Raw genomic sequence first — 21,888 nt, 5'->3', positions numbered from 1 at the left:
CACTTCCAGCTGGTCAATTTTAAAGCAAATTGCAGGGATGTACATCCTCAGATCTTCCTGCTCTCAAACTCCCTAGCCACCCAGGCTGCGGCTTGCCCTCCTGGGAATGGCAAGGGAGCCTCCTGCACACAGACTTTGCCTGCCCCCTCTTCCTGCAGCCTCCTCTCCTGGGGGCTCAGGCCTGGGGCATCGCTGGATCCCACCTTTCTACATCCTCATCTGAACCCAATTCCCTGCCTCTCTCCTGTAAAGACTGGTAAGGCTGTGATCTGAGTATTGTCCAGGCAGCAGGCAGTGGGGTGGGTGGGGCTTCCTGGAAGAAAGCAATAGCCTGAGAAGGCTGCCTTTGGCATCAGAGGGCCCTCCTACCTCCCTTGATACAAGAATGCCTTCAACAGCTGCCCCTCTTCCAAATGCCCTCAGCCTCATCTCCTTTAAGACAACAGTTACTGCCAGCTGGAGAGGCCCCAGAGCCCGATGAAGGGCTTGAGACCAATGCCAGAAAATGTACTATAGCTCTCAATGCCCAGGGCTCACGGCCACATTTTGTACCTTGGGTAGGTAGTGTGGGGAGTTGTGATTCATTCCAGGGTTGCTGGTGGCTGAAGCAGAAAAACAAAGAGAGACCCAAGCAAACAGCCCCTGAGCCTCTGGCTGGGGCAGTTCTGATGTCACTCCAGGAATGTTCTCGCAAACTCAATGAGAATGACACCCCTTGGAGTCGGGCCACAAAGCACCCTGAACGTGGGGAGTGGAAGGGTACCTGGGTAAGCCTCGGTCAAGACAATATCATGAAATGGGACCAACCCTCCCTCAAGTCCAGTGTGTCTCCAGCTGATGCTGGGTTTAAGCAGCTCTAGAATTCTTGATCTTCTTGCTGAATCAGAAGACCCCAGCTGGGCTGGGTTCTGCACACTGGGGCAGAGTGTTCCTCTACTGTTGACCACAGTGTATGTGATGTTCCATACCCCCACCAGTGTTGGCCCAAGGGGGTGCCCACAGAGAGGCTGTGAGGGTACTGCCCCAGAACTGAAGGGAAGGAGGAGCAGTCAATCCTGGCCTGAGCAAAGAGCCAGGAGAGGCAGGGGCCTTGGGAGGGACACCAGAAGGCCATGGCCTATGTGGACTCTGGCTTATGGGGCCTTGGGTCCCAGAAGTTGAGCCCAGGCCAGAGGACAGGGCCAGGCTCAAGCCTTCAGCCAGAAAGCAGGCAGGACACACGCCCTGCAAGGAAAGCCAGGCTGGTGGACAGACAGTGCAGTCTCGGCAATGGCAAATATGGGACAGGGAGAGGAGAGGGCACCACGGGCAAAGCCATGACCAGTTCCTTCTGGGACAGCCTTCACCACCTCTCCAGCTCGGCAGAGTCGCCTGGGACTTCAGGGACAATCTCTCTTATGATTGATAGGGAGGCTTCTTGCAGGTGACAGGAGTGGGGGGATCCCCCAAGCCCTGGGCTTTGCATACAGTGGGCGCTTTATAAATGCCTGCTGAATAGCTAAGCTAAAAAGAGCTGTGAACATGCTGATCTGGAACTTGATGATGGAAGAGTCTTGAGGGCAGTGTAAAATGACAAGGCATCAAAGCCGTTCGGAAGGTCACTCACTCATGACATGCAGACATTGCCTGTCCACCCAGCTCTGAGCTCCCCACTCTAAGAAGCCAGATGGGATGTGGTCAGCGCCCACAGTCAGGGCTGGGACTCCGAAATCACACACTGGCCCTTTAGGCACAGTGGCACATTCAGATCCGAGATCAACCTTAAGCAGGGGGTGGAATTGACCCTATTTGACTGCGAGGAAACAAGTTCAAATAAGTAACTTGCTGAATGCCCGGCAGCTCCTGATTTGGACACTGAAACTCAAATTCTGTCTGATCACACAGAACTCGCTCGCTCTGCCGGACGACATCGCGGGGACCACATCCTCCCCACGCCCACCTGGCCTCTGGAGTCCTGGGAGCTGGGGGGCGGCTGGAAGCCGGCTTCCCTCGAGCCCTGAGTTTCCTTAGGCTTCCGGCAGGCGGCGCCAGCCTCCTCCCCAAGTCCGGGCGCGAGATGGGAAGGGGGCGGTGTCCCAGGTTTCAGATGGACGCCCGCCACCCATTAGAGCCCACTTCAGGGGGACCGGAGGCCTAGAAGCGATGTGCATAACGGACCGGCAAAGAAGGCTAAAAGTGCACGGAGTACTCTGGCCCCAGGACCCCGGGATGTGCAGCCTAGGGGTGGGGTTGAGGTTCTGCGGCAGGGGAGGTCCCAGGCGGGGACGGTGGGCCTGACCCCGAGGGCTGAGCCAGGGTCGACTCTCACGGCGCCGGCGCCCCAACCTCTCCGGGATGGGCGGGGGCGGGGCTGAGTCCCGTTCCGCTCCCCGGCCCCAGACCTTCCCTCGCGGGCGGGGGACACTCACTGGCGAAGGGCGAGGTGGCGGTGGAGCCATTGAGGAAGCTGGGGGACCCAGGCACGCCGAGGCCGGCCACGCCCGGCGCGCCGTAGCCGCCCAGGCCAGCTCCGAGGCCGCCGCCGTAGCCGCTCTGCTGCGAGCCGGGGCTGGGCGCGAACCCGCGGGGGGACGCGCTGCTGCAGCTGCGCGCGTAGCCTGCGAGAGAGAGCGCGGCCGTCAGGGGGCGGTGCCGGCCGGGGAGGGGCGGTGGCGGCGCCCGAGGACGGCGGGGAGGCGCGGCCCACGCACCCGGCTCGGGCCCCGGGGTGGCGTCCCCGACGGCGATGGCCAGCGGGCTGCTGAAGGCGTTGATGCCCACGACGGCGGGGTGTGGGTGGCTCGGGGCCAGGGGTGCGAGCGGCCCGGGTGCGCGGGGGGTGCTGTACAGAGCCTCGGCCACGTCCGCCGCGCGCTTCAGGAGCAGCTCCTGCGAAGACAAGAGCGGGGCACGGCCGGGGCAGCCGCGGGCGCCGCGTGCTGGGGGGCCCCGGTCCCGGCGGCGCTGGGAGGGCGGAGGCGCCATACCTGGTTACTGCCGGGCACTCCGTACAGGGCTTCTGCCAAGTCGGCCGCCCGCTTCAGCAGCACTTCCTGGGGACAGGGGGAGAGACAGCGGGACGGAGGGGCAGCCCCTGGGGGCGACCAAGGGGCCCTCGGGAGCCCCTCCTCACCCCCTTGCCCACAGGACACCCTCAGCCCCGCCCCGCCCCGCCCCTCTGAGTACCTTGGGCAGCCTCTCGGGGTCTCCGGGGTGTCTGGGAATGACTTTCTGTAGCCTCTGGAATCCGTAGTCAATGGTGGGCTCGTTCAGAGCTGGGGAAGGGGGCGGCGTTTGGAGGACGTCTCCCCCGCAGCCCCCCACTCCCAGGGTGAGACGCAGGGCGCCAAAAGCAGGCCAGCGCCCAGTCCGAGAGCCTCGCTGCAGCCCCCTCCACCAGGCCCAGCCCAAGTCCCCCGGAAAACTCCAGGCACCCCCGGCAGCGAGATTCAGGGAAGTTTCAGTTCTTTCGTTTGTTTACTCAACAAATATTTACTGAGCCAGCCTCTGTCCTCGGCCCTAGGCGCTTGGTATGAACACACATGCACCCATTTGTGATTAGAAAAAAGGGAAACCGTATACACATATGAGTTATAGTCCTAAGGGCAGGACTCGATGGAGAGTTTTCTCTTTTCATCTGGTCAAATCAGGAGTTTATTATAAAAAAGAAAAAACTTAACAATCTCCATTTATCACGGCTCAAGTGGACTCTCTGCAGCATCTGAAGGCTAGAGGTTTGCATGCACCCCAGGGAAGCAACTGGAGAAGTGGGTGGCTTGGGCTGGGGCGGGAGGATGGAAGTAGAGAAGATCCGGCCAGCGGCCAGATTCTACATTGCATCTCCACGTGTGTTGTGTTCACTGCTTACCCTGGCGTTGTGCAAGGGGTGTGTGTGTGTATGCGCGTCTGACCCAGCTCCCCACGCCCTTCTCCTCCTCCTTCCCCTTTTCCTGATCCCCGCACCGCCCTTTTCAGATAGCCTGGCCCCGACCTAATCCACCAGTCTCAGAGCCCTACCTTCACCTCTGATCCTGACTTAGTGGATTTCCTTTAGTTTCCCGGCAAAGAGAAAGCACTCACTTCTGGGGATCGGTCCTTATCATTCCTTCTGCAACCACCCTTCCTTCCCCAGGTCAACCTCCCCACTCAGCCCTCGGGTTTCGGTTGAGCCGGGCTCAGCAGGCACTCCCTACCAAAGGTTTTCCTTGATTGTCAGCCCCTTGACCGCGTGACCCCACCCACCCCATGCGGTTCTCTGCTCAGCCTTTCCGCGTTAGACTGGAGCTCCGGGGAGGCTAAGTAGGGTCACTACCGAGTGTCCCTCGAAGGGCTCGATGAGCATCGGTGCGGGGGGCTGCGCGATGGTGGGGACTGCGGTGGGGTGGAGAGGAGAAGTGGGTGGCTCAGCTGGGGCGGGGCGGGAGGATGGAAATGGAGAAGACTCGGCCAGCGGCCAAATAGAGCCAGGCTGGGGGGTTCTACACTGCCTCTCCACGTGTGTTCACTGCTCGCCCTGGCGTCGTGCAAGGGGTGTGTATGTACGCACGTGTGTGTGCGTGTACATGCAGAGTGAGGCCTGGGGTAGCGTGGGGGAACCAAGAGACCCAGAGAAGATTCGGGGAGCAGCGACCCCATTGGCATCTTTGGAATAAACATCCCTTTGGAGAGGCTCTAAACCCTGGAGAGTGCGGGCGGGAGACACAATGTTCAGGAGGTGAGATGGCTGAGGGAGTAAGAATGTTGGTTGTGGGGGGGACTTTGCCCCGGGGAAGGGACTAAGGAGCCAGAGGCCAGGGAGGGAAACACACAGAGCCAGGGAAAGACGGTCCTGCGAGCGGAGCGATCACAGGCATAGGTGGTTAAAGGGGCCCGGGGCCGTCTAGGGGTCGTGGCCACAGCGTAGAGCTCGGCTAACTCCTATCACCAAGAACGGAGACCAGTGCGCAGGGTGGGGCTCCCTCCGCGCACCTTAGACCTCCACTCCCCCGCCCGACTCCTTACCTGTGTAGACAAAGCGGCCGGGGCATCCCTTGCAAAACTGCTTGGACTTGTAGGAGAGGGTCACCTCCACCACCCCGGGGATGTGCCGCGGGGGCGTCTGCACCCGGATGGCGTGGGGCGTGATGAGCTGCGAGGGGAGAGGGGAGGCCTGCAGGTCCCGCACCGGCGAGGGGAGGGCCCAGCCCCTAGGCCCAGAGGGAGACTGGCGGGGTTGGCCCACCTCGCTCCACACGAGCACGTTTCCGAACACGACCTGCAACCCGTCGAAGAAGTTGTCGCCGATGACAATGACGGTGGCGCCGCCCGTGGTCCAGCCCTCCCCGGGGCTGATGGCCTTGATGCAGGGGGTGGCAGCTGGGAGGCAGGAGAGGACCCAGGTCAGGGGACCGCGCTGAGGTGGGGCCTGGGGGGCTGGCTGGGCCCGCGGCGGCCGGGGCTGGGCCGGGGGTCCTGACCTTCGGAGGGGTCCAGGCGGCGCGCCCTGCGGCCATGCTTGGAGTTGTTGTGCACAAACATGTTGTCGGACACGGCCAGCACGTGTCCGTCCACGCTCACCGTCGTGGACACCACCACCTGCGGGGAGAGCCGAGGCCAGCCTGGCTGGGGCCCTCGGGGGCTCCCGGGAGGGGAATGTGGTGGGGAACCAGCACCTTGAGGCTGGTGGTTGGATGCTGGAATTTAGGGTCACTGGTGGGAGGAGGAGGGCTTCAATCCTGCAGTGTCTGAGCTGGTGGAAGGGGGCCAGCTGGATCAGGTGATACCCCCAGATGAACTGACTCCCCAGGCGCTACAAAAATAAAGACCCCTGAAAAAACTGGCTCCTTAGGCAAAGAATGGCTACTGTTTTTGCATACACAGAATGCTGGGTTGTATCCACGGACCTCCAAGCCAGGAATGGGGTCTTAGGCAAGTGGAGGTGGGCAGCATCAGCCGGAGAACTCAGCAGCAGGAGCCCCTGCCCTATTCTGGGGAGAAAACTGGGGCTGCCTTCTTCCCCCGCCCTGCACTGAGAGGGGTGTGCAGCTTGGGGATGTGCTAAGGGCAGCTGCTCTCCGCTTCACGCTATGCAAATTGCCTGGGTCGTTAATCATGTAAAAATGTCACAATTAGCATCTTCTTAAGTGGGACTCTAATGAAGCCTCCCTTGGCAGCCAGCACAAGTTGAGAAGGAGCTGCCCCACCCCCAGCAGGCACCAACCAGGCTGGGGAGGCACAGGGCTGGGCAGAGATCTGCCTTGGAGGCCTTTCCCAGGGTGGCAGGGTCACAGCCTTCCCTTCCCCCTCCCCTCCCCTCCATCAGGAAAGGGTGGGGTTGCAAGGGGAAACCCTCTCTCCAGACCCACCTGGAAGCGGCGCATGTCTCTGGGATTCCCCGCATTCTTCAGGCAGTTCTGGTTGCATTTGAGGAAGAACTTGAGGAAGAACCTGAAACAGTGTGGTCGGTGGGCTCAAGGGTCTGGGGGTTCTGGAAACAGATGAAGATCCAACTGCTCCCTGCCATGCCCCCTCCCCACAGGATGAGTCCCCTCTGCCTGCTCCCACTCAGGCACACATCCCATATTCCCATCATGGCCTCCATATACCAGGGTGCCTGATACACACCAGACAGACCCATCACAATGACAACTTCGCTATACAACCATACACACCGTGTGCTGATCACACAGGGCTTATTTATGCCACAAAGTGTATACTTAGCACTCCCACACAGTATATATTCACCATGAAGAGTAAGTCCATTATATACACTACCTATACTTATTACTCATTATACCCAACGCACTGTATACCCATCACACATACAATATATGCTCCGTATGTGGCGTGTACGCACACATACCCCATGTAATGTTATCACACACTGTGTATACGTCACAGTATATGCTCATCACCCATATAGCACATCTGTTATACAACACATCCCTCCCCAGAGTATACCCATCACCCACACCATGTACACTCCTCAGACACAGCACATTCTTTGTAGACACTGTTTATGCCTTGGATACTATTACTCACAAAATACAGCCATCACACACACTCGGGGTATAACCTTCACACAAGCATAAACAACATGTACTCCACATATAGCCTGCACTCATCCCACACATATGGCATACTAAGCAGACACAGAGCCTGTACCCATCATGCACGGTGTATGCCCACCCTACACAGTATATGCACAGAGAAATAGGAAATACACAGAACAAATACATTAATACGCATTTTATGTTGTAAATGATTACCCAAAATATAGTTATTGCAAATACTGTAAAGCCATCCCATATAGCAGATGCCCCCAGCAAATTCACCTCCCACATGGCATATCCTCCTCCCACACATTTTATATCCATTATACACATAGGAAAAGCTTAATCATACAGAGCACATACCCACCATATACACATGGTGTATCTGTCAGACATGTGGTACAGAGACACCGTGAATGTCTTCTTTTTTACATAGAGTTATTGGGAAAAAAACACATATGCGCTGATGAGGTTGCTTTTTAGACAAACACATGAGCACTTTGTCCTCCTCTCCTTCCTGGCAGTTGGCTGGGAGGGTGGGTCCTTGGTCCTGTCACCTACCAGTAAGGTAGCCATGGACAACATTCTGGCTGTTGTACTCTTTTTTTTCCTGTTTTTTTTTTTTTGTTTGTTTTGTTTTTTGTTTTGAGACAGAGTCTTGCTCTGTTGCCCAGGCTCGCCATGTCTCACTGCAACCTCCACCTCCTGGGTTCAAGCAATTGTCCCTGCCTCAGCCCTTGGCTTCCCGAGTTACAGGGGATTACAGGGGGATCACAGGGGCCTGCCACCACGCCTGGCTACTTTTTGTAGTTTTAGTAGAGACGGTGTTTTGCCATGTTGGCCAGGCTGGTCTCGATTCCTGACCTCAGGTGATTCACCCACCTCGGCCTCCCAAAGTGTTGGGATTACAGGCATGAGCCACTGCACCCAGCCCTGTTTAACTCTTGGTAAACTCGGAATATGATCAGTGTCTGCCTTATGCCTTATAGCACTCTGTGAGCATCTGGGAAGATACCCTTTACAAACTGTAGAGTGCAGGGCTAACGTCTGCAGTAGGTCCTGATATGTGGAACAGCCTCCTGGGCCACTGTATGAGTTTCTCCAGTCAGTCAGCTTCCTCATTTTACCTCCACCCAATTGGGAGATATTTTTACCATACTATTTACTAAAGCAAATACAAGAGTCCCAAACCTGGGGTGGAACTTTAACCACGGTATAGTTACTCATGTACTACTTATATACCCCAAATTTGAATGTTCATTTAATTCACCAGAGTTGCCTCCAAAGTCTGCAAACATTAAATTTCTGTTCAGAGGAAAATTTGTTACAGGTCCTGAAAGCCCAGTCCCCAAAAAGGAGGTCACCAAGTGCTGGGAGGAGTAAGCACCAGCCCTGGAACTGAGGTGTCCCCAGCAGGCAGCCCCTCCTTGGGAGCTGGTGGCAGTCACCTTCCTAGAGATACCTCTCCCTGGGGTCCTGCCTCTGTCTACATTCTCAGCACTTGTCATGTTCCCCCACAGTGGGCACCCCCTATATTTCCCAAATGGTGCACCCCTACAGTGTAGACAATCCATTTACCCCTGCAGGATACCCTGCAGTGCAGACAGCTGTTATGCCCCCAAACAGTAGTCACCAATGTGTAGATGCCATATATATCCCTATGGGTCACCCCAAGGTGCAGACACCTTCAGTGCTCCTGAGAGGTACACCTGCACAGTGGGCGCACTCCATTTCTCTCTTATTAGTTACTAATCACTCCCTACACCCCTTATGACACCCCATGGTGTAAACACACTACACCCACATGTGCGACATGTTCCTCATCCATGCCCCACATTCACATGTGACAGAGTATAGACTCCCTACTCACACACACAGGCAGACCAGCTCATTTAAATTAAGTACTCGTGTGCTCGGTCCTTTGGCAGGTGCTAGATGGAGGGAAAAACACCAGGATGGGGCATGGTCTCTGTCCTAAAGGGATTGAAGGCTCACCTTTGGATACCACTGAAGATGCGACAAGCATAGGACTGCACCAAAAGATGACACATGTGCCCACTGCACCCCACTCCACTCAAACCTACAGGATCAAGAGGAAGGGTCCTTGGGAAGGGGCCAAGATAGGGGCTCTGGCCAGGCCTGGACTCTCTGCATGACCCGGGGTAGGTAAATCCTTCCACACCCATGAAGGGAGAGTAGCGATTGACGGCTGCCGTGACACCTTCTAGTCCTGCCTCTGGGACATCCTTTACTTCTGCCCTCCCCAAGGCTGTGGTTTCCTGCTCCCTCACTGGCCCTTCCCCAAGCCTTTGCTCAGCAGGTCTTGCCACTGTCCCTTTACAGTACAGGTTTCATTTGTCCTTTGGGTCCACACCAATTCTCACGCCCTGTACAGCCACCATTTTCTGGCCACTCTAGGTTTCAAGGACCACCCCTTTCTGAGAGCCCTAGGGACCTGCCAGCACCTCTGTCTATGGGGACACCTCAGTGTTTGAGCCTGGCTAGCATTACCTGCAGAGTGTGGGTGAGTAAAAGCAGCTGCACAAGACCATGGCCTGCAGTGGGGGCTGAGGGTCAGTCCCCTTCTCCCTTCCCTTTGGGCCTGTCCTCAGAGCTAGCACATAGTCGAAACCATCCATGGTGTGGCTGAAACCTCACTCCCTTCCAGCTGGTAGTCCACGAGGCTTCTCCCAGTCAGAGAGCCTGCACCACCCCCTAAGACCAGCAGCGTCAGCGTCACCTGAGACCTTGCTACAAGTGTAGAATCTCAGGCCTCCCCTCAGACCTGCTGAGTCAGAATCACATCTCTGCATTCATACGCCCTCCAGGTGATGCTGGTTCACCCTGAAGTTTGAGAACTACCGCACTGGAGCTGCGCTACCCATTACTATAGCCACCAGCCCCACGCGGCATGAACCCTTGCAGTGTGGCTAGTCCGAACTTGAGATGTGCTGTAAGTGTAAAACACACATCAGATTTCCAAGACTTAGAAAAAAAGAATATAAAATAATTCATCAGTAATCTTTTATGTTGATTTCATGTGGGAATGCTCATCTTTTAGATATATTGGGTTAAATAAAATGCATTATGATAATTAGTTGTATCAGTTTCTTGTGGCTACTGGAAAATTTAACATTACATATGTGACTTGAGGCCTTGCTCAGTGGCTCGTGCCTGTAATCCCAGCATTTTGGGAGGCTGAGGTGGGTGGATCGCTTGAGGCCAGGAGTTTGAGACTAGCCTGCCCAATGCTGCGAAACTCCATCTCTATTAAAAATATAGAAATTAGCTGGGTGAGGTGGTGCATGCCTGTAGTCCCAGCTACTCAGGTGGCTGAGGCACGAGAATTGCTTGAACGGGGGAGGTGGAGGTTGCAGTGAGCCAAGGTTGAGCCACTACACTCCAGCCTGGGTGACAGAGTGAGACCCTGTCTCAAAAAAAAAAAAAAAAAGAAAAGAAAAAAAGAAAAAAGAAAAGAAAAAAGCATATTTACATACATATGTGGCTTGCTTGCATTATATTAATATCGGACAATGCTTCACTGGAGTGTATGTCTCTAGGGGAAAGTGACTCGCATTTACTATTGATTGATTGGAGCACAGACTATAAAGTTAAGTGCTAATTTGTAGAAAACTGATAAGATACAAATGATATTTGTCAGTGGGAGCTAAAAATTTTGATGACCTGATATAAAAATTAGCCGGGCGTGGTGGCAGGCGCCTGTAATCCCAGCTACTCGGGAGGCTGAGGCAGGAGAATCACTTGAACCCGGGAGGCGGAGGTTGCAGTGAGCTGAGATCACGCCATTGCACTCCAGCCTGGGGGACAAGAGTGAGACTTCGTCTCAAAAAAAAAAAAATAAAAAAAATAAATAAAAACTTTGATGACCTGGAGGTAGAGCATGGAAAGACAGATAATAAAGACTGGGAAGGGTGAGTTGGGGGGCAGGGAGAAGAGAAGTGGGTTATAGGGTACAAATAGCAAGATAGAAGGAATAAACTTGATGTTTGATAGCAGAGTGGGGTGACTATACTTAGCCAAAATGTATTGTACCTGTGTGATGGACACCCTAAATATCTGGATTGGATCACCACACATTGTATACTTTCACTTGTACCCTGTGAATTTATACTCCCCGCCCCCAAATTCATATGACTTGGAAACAAATGATATTTGTCAGGAGAAGTAAATAATTTCTGTTTGGTGGAGAAATTAGCCCTAAAGATGATAAAATTGTCCTATGGACATTAACTAGCTTTATATCTAATTTGGCCATCTTATTCCAGTATTTTCCACACAATCCCTTGCCTCTCCCTCCCTCCCCTCAACCCCTTTCCATATACGCACGCACTCACACACTCGCACATGTATCACTTTCTCTTCGTCTTCTTTGAATCAGCTTTGTCATCCCATTGGTTCCCTCATCAATAAGTTATAGAAAACTTTGATACATGCTCAGTAGCAATTTGTATGAGAATCACGCTTTTGACATTTTGAAGACTGTGCTTTGGCAAAGGTGACCCGCCCCTAAAGGCTCCTGCCTTCCAAGGCTGGACCTGGAATTAGAGGACTTCCGTTGGGGTCTAGAACCAGGAGCAGTGCCCGGGCTCTCCCCTGGACCTAGAGAGACTGCCGACCCTCCGGGTGCCGCTGCCTGGTCCTCTCCTTGCCCACCAGGGGGAGACAGACACACCGCAGAGGCTGGAAGGGCGAACGTGAGAACAACCCAGGAGAATTCTCCCTTGGCTGACGCCCAGGGGGTGACACTTTATTCCACCTGAGCAGTCAGGGAAGGATGAGAATGGAGTCAGGGAAGAAGAAGGAGGGGCAGCAGGTCCTCCAAGCCATGTCTGCACAGAGGCCAGATGTGGGGGCTGGGGACTGGGGGAGAGTGAGAGACCTGGTGGGCAGGGGAGTTGGAGGGAGACACACACATGGAACACATGTGGACATGGGAACTGCGGGCAGGTGTTCCCCTTGAAAGAAGAGAGCCTGGGAAGGGGCTGGGTAAGTGAGGACAAGGTTCTGGGCCTGGGACACCCTGTAGGGACTTGAGGCAGGAAGGGATGTGCACTTTGTTGAGGGGCTTGAAGCCCTGCTTGTCAGCATGGAACCACCCCCCACCTCTAAAGCTTGGATGAGCCTGGGGGTGTTCTCTGAGCACCCCTCCCCACTCCTGGCCCTATGGGGCTGAAAAGGAGTCTAGGAAAGCCCGTTTTTCCTGACCAGGATGGGGGCAGGGGGCAGGGAGTGGGGAGGAGTAAAGTGAGCCCAAGTCCACAGCCCTCTCTGACCTGAGGATCCCCATGGAGGGTGACCACTGCAGGACCAGTGCCCAGTGCCATCCCACTGTGGCCATGAGGCTCTTGGAGGGCATGGCTTCCTAATCCAGACCCCACAGAAAAGGGAGTAAGGGAAAGGCCAAGTCGCAGAAGCTTCCATTAGGATTACTGGAAGAAAACACCATAAATACAAGCATGACTTACAAATGAAATGCATTAGGGAGGTAACTATGCAAAAACAAAACAAACAAACAAACAACAAAAAAAGAAAAACAGGGAACCAGGTCTAACCCATCAGGCACTCAGCACCTTAGCAACTGCCCAGAACGCTGCTGAGTTTGTCACTTTGGCATTATCTTGCTCAATCCCCCAGGTCGTGTCGGTCTGCAACCATTCCCACTTTACGGATGAGAAAACCAAGGCTAAGCTATTGACTGTGACTTGACAAAGTCACAGTCAATGCTAAAGTAAGGATATGAAAACGGGTCTTTATGAACCACTGATGCCGACAAGAGTCCTAGAAGTCCTTCTAAGTGGGGCTCTCAGAGTCCGACCCAGGCTGGTACTGCAGCGGCAAGCCTGCCTTCAAAAGCAGCTCTGAGAGGCAGGCTGTGTGGGGACCAGGATAGTATGTTGTGGGGATTTCCTCGAGGTTACAAATTCAACAGGGTTGCAGAGGTCAAACTCAGGTCCTCTTGCTCCTAGTTTTGGGCTTTTGGCTGTTGTGACTGCTGCTATCAGTCGAGAAGATCTTCAGTATTAAAAAACAATGGAACCAATAGTTAAAAATTGTTCTAGCTCATTGGGGCTATATGGGCTTCATTATTCCATTCTGCCTGTATTCCACATTCTCAATAAAAACTTTAATGAAAGACCAGAAGAAGAGCTGTGAACAGTGGTCATCCAACTAATGAAGTATCTAAAGGATGGTAGTTATGCATCATGACTCTGATGCCTGTGACTTAAAGGAAAGCTCAGAGTAGTTCACCCACACACCCACCTTACCACATCCTGAACTTGGTTTAGCCTTCGTAATCATGTCTATAAACGCTTTTTATTCCTCCCCATAAAAACAGCTCAAGATGAAATGAAAAGAAACGTCTTGTCCATGGAGTATTTCCTACCAAAGAAGCAAACTCTGGGTTGAGTATGGCTAAAGTGCAAACATTTAACTTATACACTACTTCTCAGGGGTGACACCATTGCATTAACTCCCCAAGCACAGTGCTTTACTCAAAAGAGACACTCAGTAGAGAAGGCAAGTGTGAAGGCAATTGATGTGAGTCCACTGTTAAATTCTAGGTTTTCAGGGGGTAGAAGGCAGAGTGGGATGGAGCTGCTTTTTTTTTTCAGTCAGGGTCTCGCTCTGTCACCCAGACTGGAGTGCAGTGGTGTGATCTTGGCTCACTGCAGCCTTGACCTCCCAGGCTTAAGTGATCCTCTCACCTCAGCCTCCTGAGCAGGTGGGACTACAGGTCACACTACCATGCTCAGCTAATTTTGTTTATTTTTTGTAGAGACGGAGGTCTCAGTACGTTGCCCAGGCTGGTCTCAAACTCCTGGGCTCAGGCGATCCTTCTGATTCAGCCTCCCAAAATGCTGAGATTACAGGCATGAGCCACCATGCCTGGCCTGGAGCTTCTTTTGGAAGACAACGTCCAGGAACTTTACAGTGAGTTGATGCCTGCCTGATTCCCTCATGCCCCAGCTGCAGTGTAGACTGTCAAATGGCTCGCAGCTGCCCCAAGGTAATCTGAGAATTACCCTCAGCCAAGAGCATATACTCCCCACCAGTAGCCCACAGCCAATGACAGATTGACATTACAAGGAGGACCAACTCTCTGGCCATTCACACTCCAGACCTCTGCATGGGATAGGCTGACGCTAGACTCCGACCGAGACCACCTCCTTGTTAAACTCCCTCTATACTCATTCCTTTTCTCCTGAGAGCTCTCCTTTGATAAACCTCTTTCACAAGAATCCCCATCTCAGGCTCTGCTTCCAGGAATCCCACCCTAAGAAAACTTAGGTCACAGAGCTAAGGCTTTTCACCAGCTTTTTCTTCCCTGCATCCCCATGAGATACTTAGGGCTGAAATTATGTTCTCACTTCCAAAGAGAAAGCTGTCAGTAACTCAAAGAGCTGGAAGGAGAGCCCGAGTGCATTTTCCACTACAGGTCTGTCAGGGGCAAGGAAGAACGTGTCTAGATTACAGTGCTCCCTAAGGGAACTTTTTCCAGAATGATATGCATTAGCCACGCATGGCTACTAAGCACTGGAAATGTGGCTAGTGCAACTGAGGAACTGAATTTTATTTCATTTTAATTAACATAAATCTATTTTTTTTTTGAAACGGAGTCTCGCTCTGTTGCCCAGGCTGGAGTGCAGTGGCGTGATCTCGGCTCACTGCAACCTCCACCTCCTGGGTTCAAGCGATTCTCCCGCCTCAGCCTCCTGAGTAGCTGGGACTAAAGGCGACTGCCACCATGCCCAGCTAATTTTTGTATTTTTAGTAGAGACAGCGTTTCACCATATTGGTCAGGCTGGTCATGAACTCCTGACCTCTGGTGATCCACCCGCCTTGGCCTCCCAAAGTGCTGGAATTACAGGCGTGGGCCACTGCGCCCAGCCATTTTAATGAACATAAATCTAAATAGTCACATGTGGCTCGAGACTACCATATTGGACAGTGCAGATCTAGAAAGAAGGTATGCAGTGAATGGATATACGAGCTGGGGCAGGATGTTCCAAACAACAGTGTGTCCTGTGAAGGCCTTGGGAAAGACAGCAGGTTAAGAGTGAAGGGTAGATTAAATTGGATATGTGTTTCCAAGCCCAAAGCTGGCACTGCAGCCTGAGATGGGGAAATAAGGGGACAGGGATCTCCGCTAATTTTTATCCTAAAAGATTTGTCTTGGGCTCCCATGAGCCTCCGAAGAAACTGAAGCAGTTTCTGGCTCTCCAGCGTGTTCACTGTCTGCTTCTCTCTACCCTCAGCTCAGGGACAGAGGAGGACACAGAGGGCTGGGCCATTCATCCCCTCATTCATTCCATACACCCACTTAAAAAGATTTATTAAATACCTTCTATGTGTTAGGCACTGCGGCATTGTATAAAATCTTAAGGAAATTACAACCCAACAGGAAAGAGAAACTCAGGAAGACAGAGTGGTGGGCACGGCAGGAGGATGTGCCAAGTGTAATCTGCAGTGGCCACTTATTTTGCCTAGGGGAGGCGGAATGCTTCCTAGAGCTCCAATTTGGTCTTGGGTGATGGGTCTTGGAGGATCTCACCGAGAAGTAGGAGGCAGGGCCCTCCATGCAAAGGGACTAACAGCTCCACCACGGGGCAGACGGCTCACTCGATCAGTGGTGCCTGACAAGACTGAGGAGGGCAGCGTGGCTTGGGGCCTGGGGTTGGGACCAAATCATGCGGGACTTGGATCCTCTGGGTGATGGGAAGGCTACAGGGGATGTCTCCCTTCAGGCAGAAACAGGCACCAAAGGGCCTACGCTAGAGAAGGGAAGGGAAATGAGGAGCTTACTGTAATAGTTCAGGCCCATGTGGGGTTGGCCCAGGCTGCTTCCTGGTCTTAGCCTGCGGTAGAAGCCAAGATAGACTGTCCCCAGGGCCACAGCCACCTGCCAGGCCTGGACCTGGCCTCCCCACCATGATCCCCACCCGGGTAGAGGTGGCTGCAGTGCAGATGGGCTGGAGGACTATAAATAGCCAGGGCGCATACATTAGCATGCCAATGCACCCGCACCCCATCCTCTATGCTAATGGCCCACCATGCGCCTGAACACCTTCTGTTCCCCTGCATGCATTTGCATGCACAATTAGCATAATCTTGTATAATTAATGAACAGCGTCAATTTTAGCTCCTAAGTAATTTGATTAACATGTTGATAGGGCACTTACTAGGCTCTCCAAACCTCAGGGCTGGGCATGGGGCCTGAGGAGAAGGGGAGGGGGTGTGGAGAGACTGCTAAGGGGCCCCCAGCTGCCCACCAAGAGTGGCAGTGGCTCCACTTTCCCCAAACCAGGCCTGAGGGGAGAGGAGGAAGGGTGGAGTGGCCACTAATGGGAGGCCTCTGGGCATGCCACATGCAGCGGCAGGAAGGGGCTGGTGCATGGTCACCATGGTGTGCCTGTGTGGACACAGATGTACACATGCACCCACACAAGTCCTCTCAAGCCTGGGGAGTCTTCTGTCAATGCAGGCTATCAGAGTCCACGAACAGAAGAGAAGGAGAGATAGAGAAAAAGGAGGGAGGAGGGGGGATGGGGCATGGACGGCAGCAGAAGCCACAGAGCTGGAAGGGGTGCTTGCAAGTCAGAAAGAGATTTAAAGGAGAAGGTGGGAGTCTGAAGGAAAGAAGTTGTGGGTTCCTCTGGCCTTGGGCAGAGGTGGTGGTGTAGATGAGACCCAGGCTCTAAGACCAGAGACCTTGGCACCTCTTATCTATGAATCAGGTGAGAGGTGGGTAGCGGGTATTAGCAAGGCCTGGCATCTTCTACAATTCACCAAGCACCCAGGGCAGAGAGAACAGACAGAAGATTAAGTGAGAATGTCCCCCTTCCTATTCAGAGAAAGACCCATCCCCAGCCTGGGATGTCTACCCCTGACTGTGGGCTCTGGTTCTGGAGGCAGGACGTTCCTCCTTGGTTCCCACTGAACTTTTTTTTTTTTTTTTGAAATGGAGTCTCGCTCTGTTGCCCAGGCTGGAGTGCAATGGCGCGATCTCGGCTCACTGCAACCTCTGCCTCCTGGGTTCAAGTGATTCTCCTGCCTCAGCCTCCTGAGTAGCTGGGACTACAGGTGCCATTTTTTTTTTTTTTTTCACATTTTTAGTAGAGACGGGGTTTCACCATGTTGGCCAGGCTGGTCTCAAAGTCCCGACCTTAAGTGATCCGCCCACCTCGGCCTCCCAAAGTGCTGGGATTACAGGTGTGAGCCACTGCGCCCGGCCTGAACTTTCTTGCTGCCGTCCAGGCTCAGCTGCACTTACTCTAAGATGATCGGTAAGGGTGGGGTGGCAGGAGGGTAAGAAATGACTCTGAGGCAGTCACTGTGCTGGGCACTGCATGAATACATCCTACTAACTCCACAGCATCCTCTCCTTCCCAGAATCACAGGAGGCTCATTGGTCAGCTCTATTTTACACATTAGGGAACTGAAGCTCTGGGAGGTGAGAACTTGCTCCCAGTTACATAGCCAGACATCCCAGGTTGGCTTGAGTCCCCAGCCCTCAATAACTCTCCACTTTGTGGAGAAAGCTTATTATTCAAGTTGCAGGCGGTTCACTCACTAGCCGCCTCCACTCCACCTATTATGGTTCCCAGGCTGCCTCATGCCTGCGGTCCCCCTCTTCCCCCAATCTTCTTTTCTTTTCTTTTTTTTTTTTTTTGAGACGGAGTTTCGCTCCTGTTACCCAAGCTGGAGTGCAGTGGCGCGATCTCGGCTCACTGCAAGCTCCGCCTCCCGGGTTCACGCCATTCTCCTGCCTCAGCCTCCCGAGTAGCTGGGACTACAGGCGCCCGCCACCACGCCCGGCTAATTTTTTGGTATTTTTAGTAGAGACGGGGTTTCACCGTGTTAGCCAGGATGGTCTCCATCTCCTGACCTTGTGATCTGCCCACCTTGGCCTCCCAAAGTGCTGGGATTACAAGCGTGAGCCACCGCGCCCGGTCCTCTTCCCCCAATTTTCTATGGAGGCACTGTCCAAATCTCTGCTCCTGTCTCAGCATGGAGGCCAGTCTGGCCCTAAGCTTGGCTTCGGCTGCCCAGAGGTCTCCTCATAAGTCCTTCCTCTTCATTAGGGGTCCTTTGTCCTTATGACTGGCATCTCAGCCTATATGACCTTCGGAGCACATGAGCGAATCTCTCTTGAACCCCCTCTGCTTCTCCCTCTCTCAAATGCTCTCAGCTCTGAAAAGAGTGGTGGGGGTTGGGGGGAATGGGGAAGGAAGTGCAGTGCATTCAGGTGGCAAGAGGGAAACCTTAGTCTCACCTCAGCACTGACCCAGCAGGGAGGTTCTGGAACCTCAAGGGGGATTGCCAGAATGGATCTGGACAGAAGTCTGTGCTTGCAGCATGAGTGTGGGAGATCCTGCTGGAAAGCGTGGAAGGAGATGGATGACATTGGGCTAGTTTTGTGGCTGTAGAGGAAAACAGGGAATGTTGCATTGACCAGTGGATTAGGAAGGGGGCTGATTCTTTTGCAGTTCCCACAGCCCCTTTCATCTAATTGCACTTATAATGTGCCTGATCTAGGGTCTAAATTTGCCCCCAATAGAGTAGACCAGAGCTTACCTTTGCCAGGTGGCTCGGACCTAAACTATTCCAATAGTGTCACTGAACAACACCCACCAGGCAGCAGGCACAATTAAATGCCAGGGAGTATCCATAGCCCCCAGCTTCTATCTATCCCTAGGAGCCAGAGAAGAGCTATGAGCCTCCCATGGGAGGGTATGTTTCCCTACCCCTGCCACAGGGTCATCCTGGCCAATCAAGCAAATATTTAAAGTCTTAGAGCTGTGATGTCAGATACAGTAACCATGTGTTATTTCTTAAATTTGATTTAAATTAAACACAATTAAATATTCAATTCCTCAGTCACGGTAGCTACAGTTCAAGTGCCCAATAAATATGTGTGGCTATTGGCTACCATATTGGTTGGTACAGAATATTTTCATCATTGCAGAAAGTACTATTGGATAGTGTGGTCTTCAAGCCTTACATTGTTTTCTATTTCTTCTTATTATTATGTAATTATAGATAATCTCTACTGACCTTTCTTCAAGTACACGAATTTTTTTCAAAATTATAAATTGTTGTTTACATAATTATATTTGTCTCCTCAACTGCTCTGTAAGCTCTCAGAGGGCAGGGATCATTGTTTAAGCCTCTCTTCTCCCAAGCATCCATCATAGTCCCAGCCCCACAACAGGTGCTGATTGATTCATGATAGAATTCAAGAGTCAAAAATTACTGTGACTGGATGAATGCTGGACTAAAGCCCCCAAGGCACTTTTAACTTGTGCCCAGGTAAGAAATAACAATTACAGGGACAGGACTTTGGGAATTGCTAAGTAAAGACCTCTGAAAATCCATTCTTCCATAAAGAAACAAGAACACTGGCAAACATGGTCAAAATCAACTTTCTCAGAACTCTAAAAATTAACAACATGTGTGCAACAACTCAAGGAACATTGAGGCAAGAAAAATGGCTGAGTTGTAATAAGAACAGAAAGCTTTGTGGTGTTTTAATTTGCCCTATTCCCATCCCCTACTCCCCAGCCCTGTTGAAGACCAGCTACCTTGCAACCACTATTGTAGTTGTGAAAACTAGCAAGCTAGCAACCATAGGAAGGGGTAGAGTGGGTTTGGAGCCTCTCAACAAGCTGTATTCCCAGTCAGTTTTCACTCTTTAACCTTTCTAGCAACTCCCTGACAGCTTTATTTGCAGAACTTGTTATTTGACCCGATTCAGAACTTACTTAGTGGGAAAGACCCTATCTTCAGGGTGTTTGTTGAAAACAGCCAGCGGCAATTGCTTAACATTGCAGCTACATGAGGCAGCAATACAAGTTGGGGGCAAATAAAAGTTTGGCCATAATATTTTAAAGGAAAAAGTGGGGAATAAGATGTTCACAGGGGCTCTGAAAAGCTCTGACATATTCCTGGAGATCTAGAAAGCTATGCATATGTGCAGGGAGAGGCACATGCCCAAAAAAGGCATGGAAAGCCCCTGGTCTCTCACCTCTGGTTTATCCCAAGGCCCTGAGCAAGCAGGAAGTGAAGGTCAAGGCAGAGTTGTAAATCGCTGGAGCACTGAAGGCATGTCTTAACACACATACAGAACCTTTTGGCAATGGGTTGAACACTTATTGGCATTCAAGGCATTTAAAGAAATGCCTGTCCAATCATGGCCTGATAACTAAGCCAAGAGCAGAAACTTCAGTGATTATACATGACAGGAAATATAGACTTTATATAATTAGTCCAAGAAAATCACTAAACAAACAAACAGCAATAGCAATAAGAACAAAATTGGGAGGGAGGATCTGATTGCCAGAGTGCAACATTATATGATTAAAATGTCCAGTTTTCAACAAACAATTATGAGACATGCAAGGTACAGGAAAGTAAGACCCATACATTGTAATAAAGCAGCCAACAGGAACTATCCCTGAGGAAGCCCAGAGGTTAGAATTTTTAGACAAATACTTTATTAATTAATTTATTTTTGGAACAGGGTCTTGCTCTGTTGCCCAGGCTGAAGTGCAGTGGTGTGATCATGGCTCACTGAAGCCTTGACCTCCCAGGTTCAAGTGATCCTCCCACCTTAGTTCCCAAGTAGCTGGGACTACAGGTATGAGCCACCATGCCCAGCTAATTTTTGTAGGTTTTTGTAGAGACAGGGTTTCACCATGTTGCCCAGGCTGGTCTCAAACTCCTAGGCTCAAGCAATCTGCCCTTCTCTGCCTACCAAAATGCTGGGATTATAGGAGTGAGCCACTGCAGCTGGCATAGATAAAGACTTTAAATGAGCAATTATAAATATGTTCATAGAACTAAAGGAAACTATGTCTAAAAAATTCAAGAAAAGTATGAGAATGAAGTCACACCAAAAAAATCAATAAAGGATTTCAAATTATATTTTTAAAAACCCATGAAATTCTGAAGTAGAAAAGAACAATAAGTAAAATTTAAAAATACCTGGAACAAGCTTCTCTAACCTGCGACCCACGGGGCACATGCAGCCCAGGTTGGCTTTGAATTAGCCTGCAAATTTGTAAACTTTCTTATTATGAGATGTTTTTGCTTTTTTTTTTTTTTTCTCATCAGCTATCGCTAGTATTAATGTATTTTATGTGTGGCTCAAGACAAGTCTTCTTCCAATATGGCCCACGGAAGCCAAAAGATTGGACACCCCTGACCTAGAGGAACTCAACAACATATCTCATTTGGTGGGACGAAAAAAAATCAGTATACTTGAATATAGGCCAATTGAGATTATCTAGCTCAGAAGCAGAAAGAAAAAAGAATGAAGAAAAATGAACAGAGCTTAAGAGACCTGTGGGAGCCATCAAGCATACCAGTATATGTATAATGGGAATCTGAGAAGGAGAGTAGAGATGGAACAGGACAGAAAAATATTCAAGAAAATGCCCCTAAATTTCCTAAATGTGCTCAGTAATGAAAAACATTATTGAGCACATCTTAAGAAGCTCAGTAAACTCCAAGTAGTATGAACACAAAGTGTATGATCTATACAAAGACACATCATACTCAAACTTTTGAAAGCCAAAGAAAAAGAAAGGATCTGAGAAGCAATGAGAGAGAGAGAGAAGTAACTCGTCATATATAAGGAATCCTTAATAAGATCACCACATAACTTCTGAAACCATGAAGGACAGAAGGCAGTGAGATGATATATTGTGTTAAAAGAAAACAACTATCGACCAAAAAATTGCATGTCCAGCAAAACTATCAACTTCTAAAATGATCAACTTCAAAAATGAAGGAGAAATTGAGACATTTTCAGATAAACAAAAACTGAGAGGATTCATCACTAACAGGTTTGTCC

General features: G+C 51.5%; 1 protein-coding gene across 8 annotated transcripts in view, besides 7 other annotated features; it reads right to left on the bottom strand.

The window, feature by feature from the left end:
• Positions 1–21,888, bottom strand: part of EBF4 (EBF family member 4) — a 67,329-nt gene that overhangs the window by 5,155 nt on the left and 40,286 nt on the right. For 6 of the 8 annotated variants that reach the window (NR_138537.2, NM_001395167.1, NM_001395168.1 and 3 more), the window contains 8 exons: positions 6,324–6,405; positions 5,436–5,553; positions 5,201–5,334; positions 4,981–5,107; positions 3,166–3,254; positions 2,967–3,032; positions 2,691–2,868; positions 2,409–2,597 (listed from right to left, as the gene is read on the bottom strand). Coding sequence is in view for 7 of the 8 variants with exons in the window: in NM_001395167.1 (NP_001382096.1) it covers positions 2,409–2,597; positions 2,691–2,868; positions 2,967–3,032; positions 3,166–3,254; positions 4,981–5,107; positions 5,201–5,334; positions 5,436–5,553; positions 6,324–6,405 (983 nt within the window). In the remaining variant the exon portion in view is untranslated. The remainder of the gene's footprint in view (positions 1–2,408; positions 2,598–2,690; positions 2,869–2,966; positions 3,033–3,165; positions 3,255–4,980; positions 5,108–5,200; positions 5,335–5,435; positions 5,554–6,323; positions 6,406–21,888) is intronic. The other 2 variants (XM_047440335.1, XM_017027985.1) reach the window with 2 other exon arrangements.
• Positions 2,550–2,729: a silencer, noted in NCBI's record as "silent region_12606". NCBI's record gives its function as "represses an Ori minimal core promoter by ATAC-STARR-seq in GM12878 lymphoblastoid cells {active_cell/tissue: GM12878}" and the evidence as "EXISTENCE:reporter gene assay evidence [ECO:0000049][PMID:35858748]".
• Positions 3,311–3,822: an enhancer, noted in NCBI's record as "H3K4me1 hESC enhancer chr20:2731778-2732289 (GRCh37/hg19 assembly coordinates)". NCBI's record gives its function as "activates a minimal SCP1, AML or CMV promoter by ChIP-STARR-seq in naive H9 embryonic stem cells {active_cell/tissue: H9 hESC(naive)}" and the evidence as "EXISTENCE:reporter gene assay evidence [ECO:0000049][PMID:30033119]".
• Positions 3,891–4,571: an enhancer, noted in NCBI's record as "H3K4me1 hESC enhancer chr20:2731029-2731709 (GRCh37/hg19 assembly coordinates)". NCBI's record gives its function as "activates a minimal SCP1, AML or CMV promoter by ChIP-STARR-seq in naive H9 embryonic stem cells {active_cell/tissue: H9 hESC(naive)}" and the evidence as "EXISTENCE:reporter gene assay evidence [ECO:0000049][PMID:30033119]".
• Positions 3,891–4,647: a biological region, named in NCBI's record as "H3K4me1 hESC enhancer GRCh37_chr20:2731029-2731709".
• Positions 4,508–4,647: a silencer, noted in NCBI's record as "fragment chr20:2730953-2731092 (GRCh37/hg19 assembly coordinates)". NCBI's record gives its function as "represses an EF-1alpha promoter that drives an FKBP-Casp9 reporter gene in an ReSE screen in HepG2 liver carcinoma cells {active_cell/tissue: HepG2}" and the evidence as "EXISTENCE:reporter gene assay evidence [ECO:0000049][PMID:32094911]".
• Positions 11,609–11,658: a silencer, noted in NCBI's record as "silent region_12605". NCBI's record gives its function as "represses an Ori minimal core promoter by ATAC-STARR-seq in GM12878 lymphoblastoid cells {active_cell/tissue: GM12878}" and the evidence as "EXISTENCE:reporter gene assay evidence [ECO:0000049][PMID:35858748]".
• Positions 15,811–16,392: an enhancer, noted in NCBI's record as "VISTA enhancer hs632". NCBI's record gives its function as "enhancer in: neural tube[5/9] | hindbrain (rhombencephalon)[5/9] | midbrain (mesencephalon)[5/9] | forebrain[5/9]" and the evidence as "EXISTENCE:transgenic organism evidence [ECO:0001131][PMID:17130149]".

The sequence above is a fragment of the Homo sapiens genome, chromosome 20, assembly GCF_000001405.40.
Source record: "Homo sapiens chromosome 20, GRCh38.p14 Primary Assembly".
NCBI lineage: Eukaryota > Metazoa > Chordata > Mammalia > Primates > Hominidae > Homo > Homo sapiens.
This window is presented reverse-complemented; position numbering and strand designations above follow the sequence as displayed.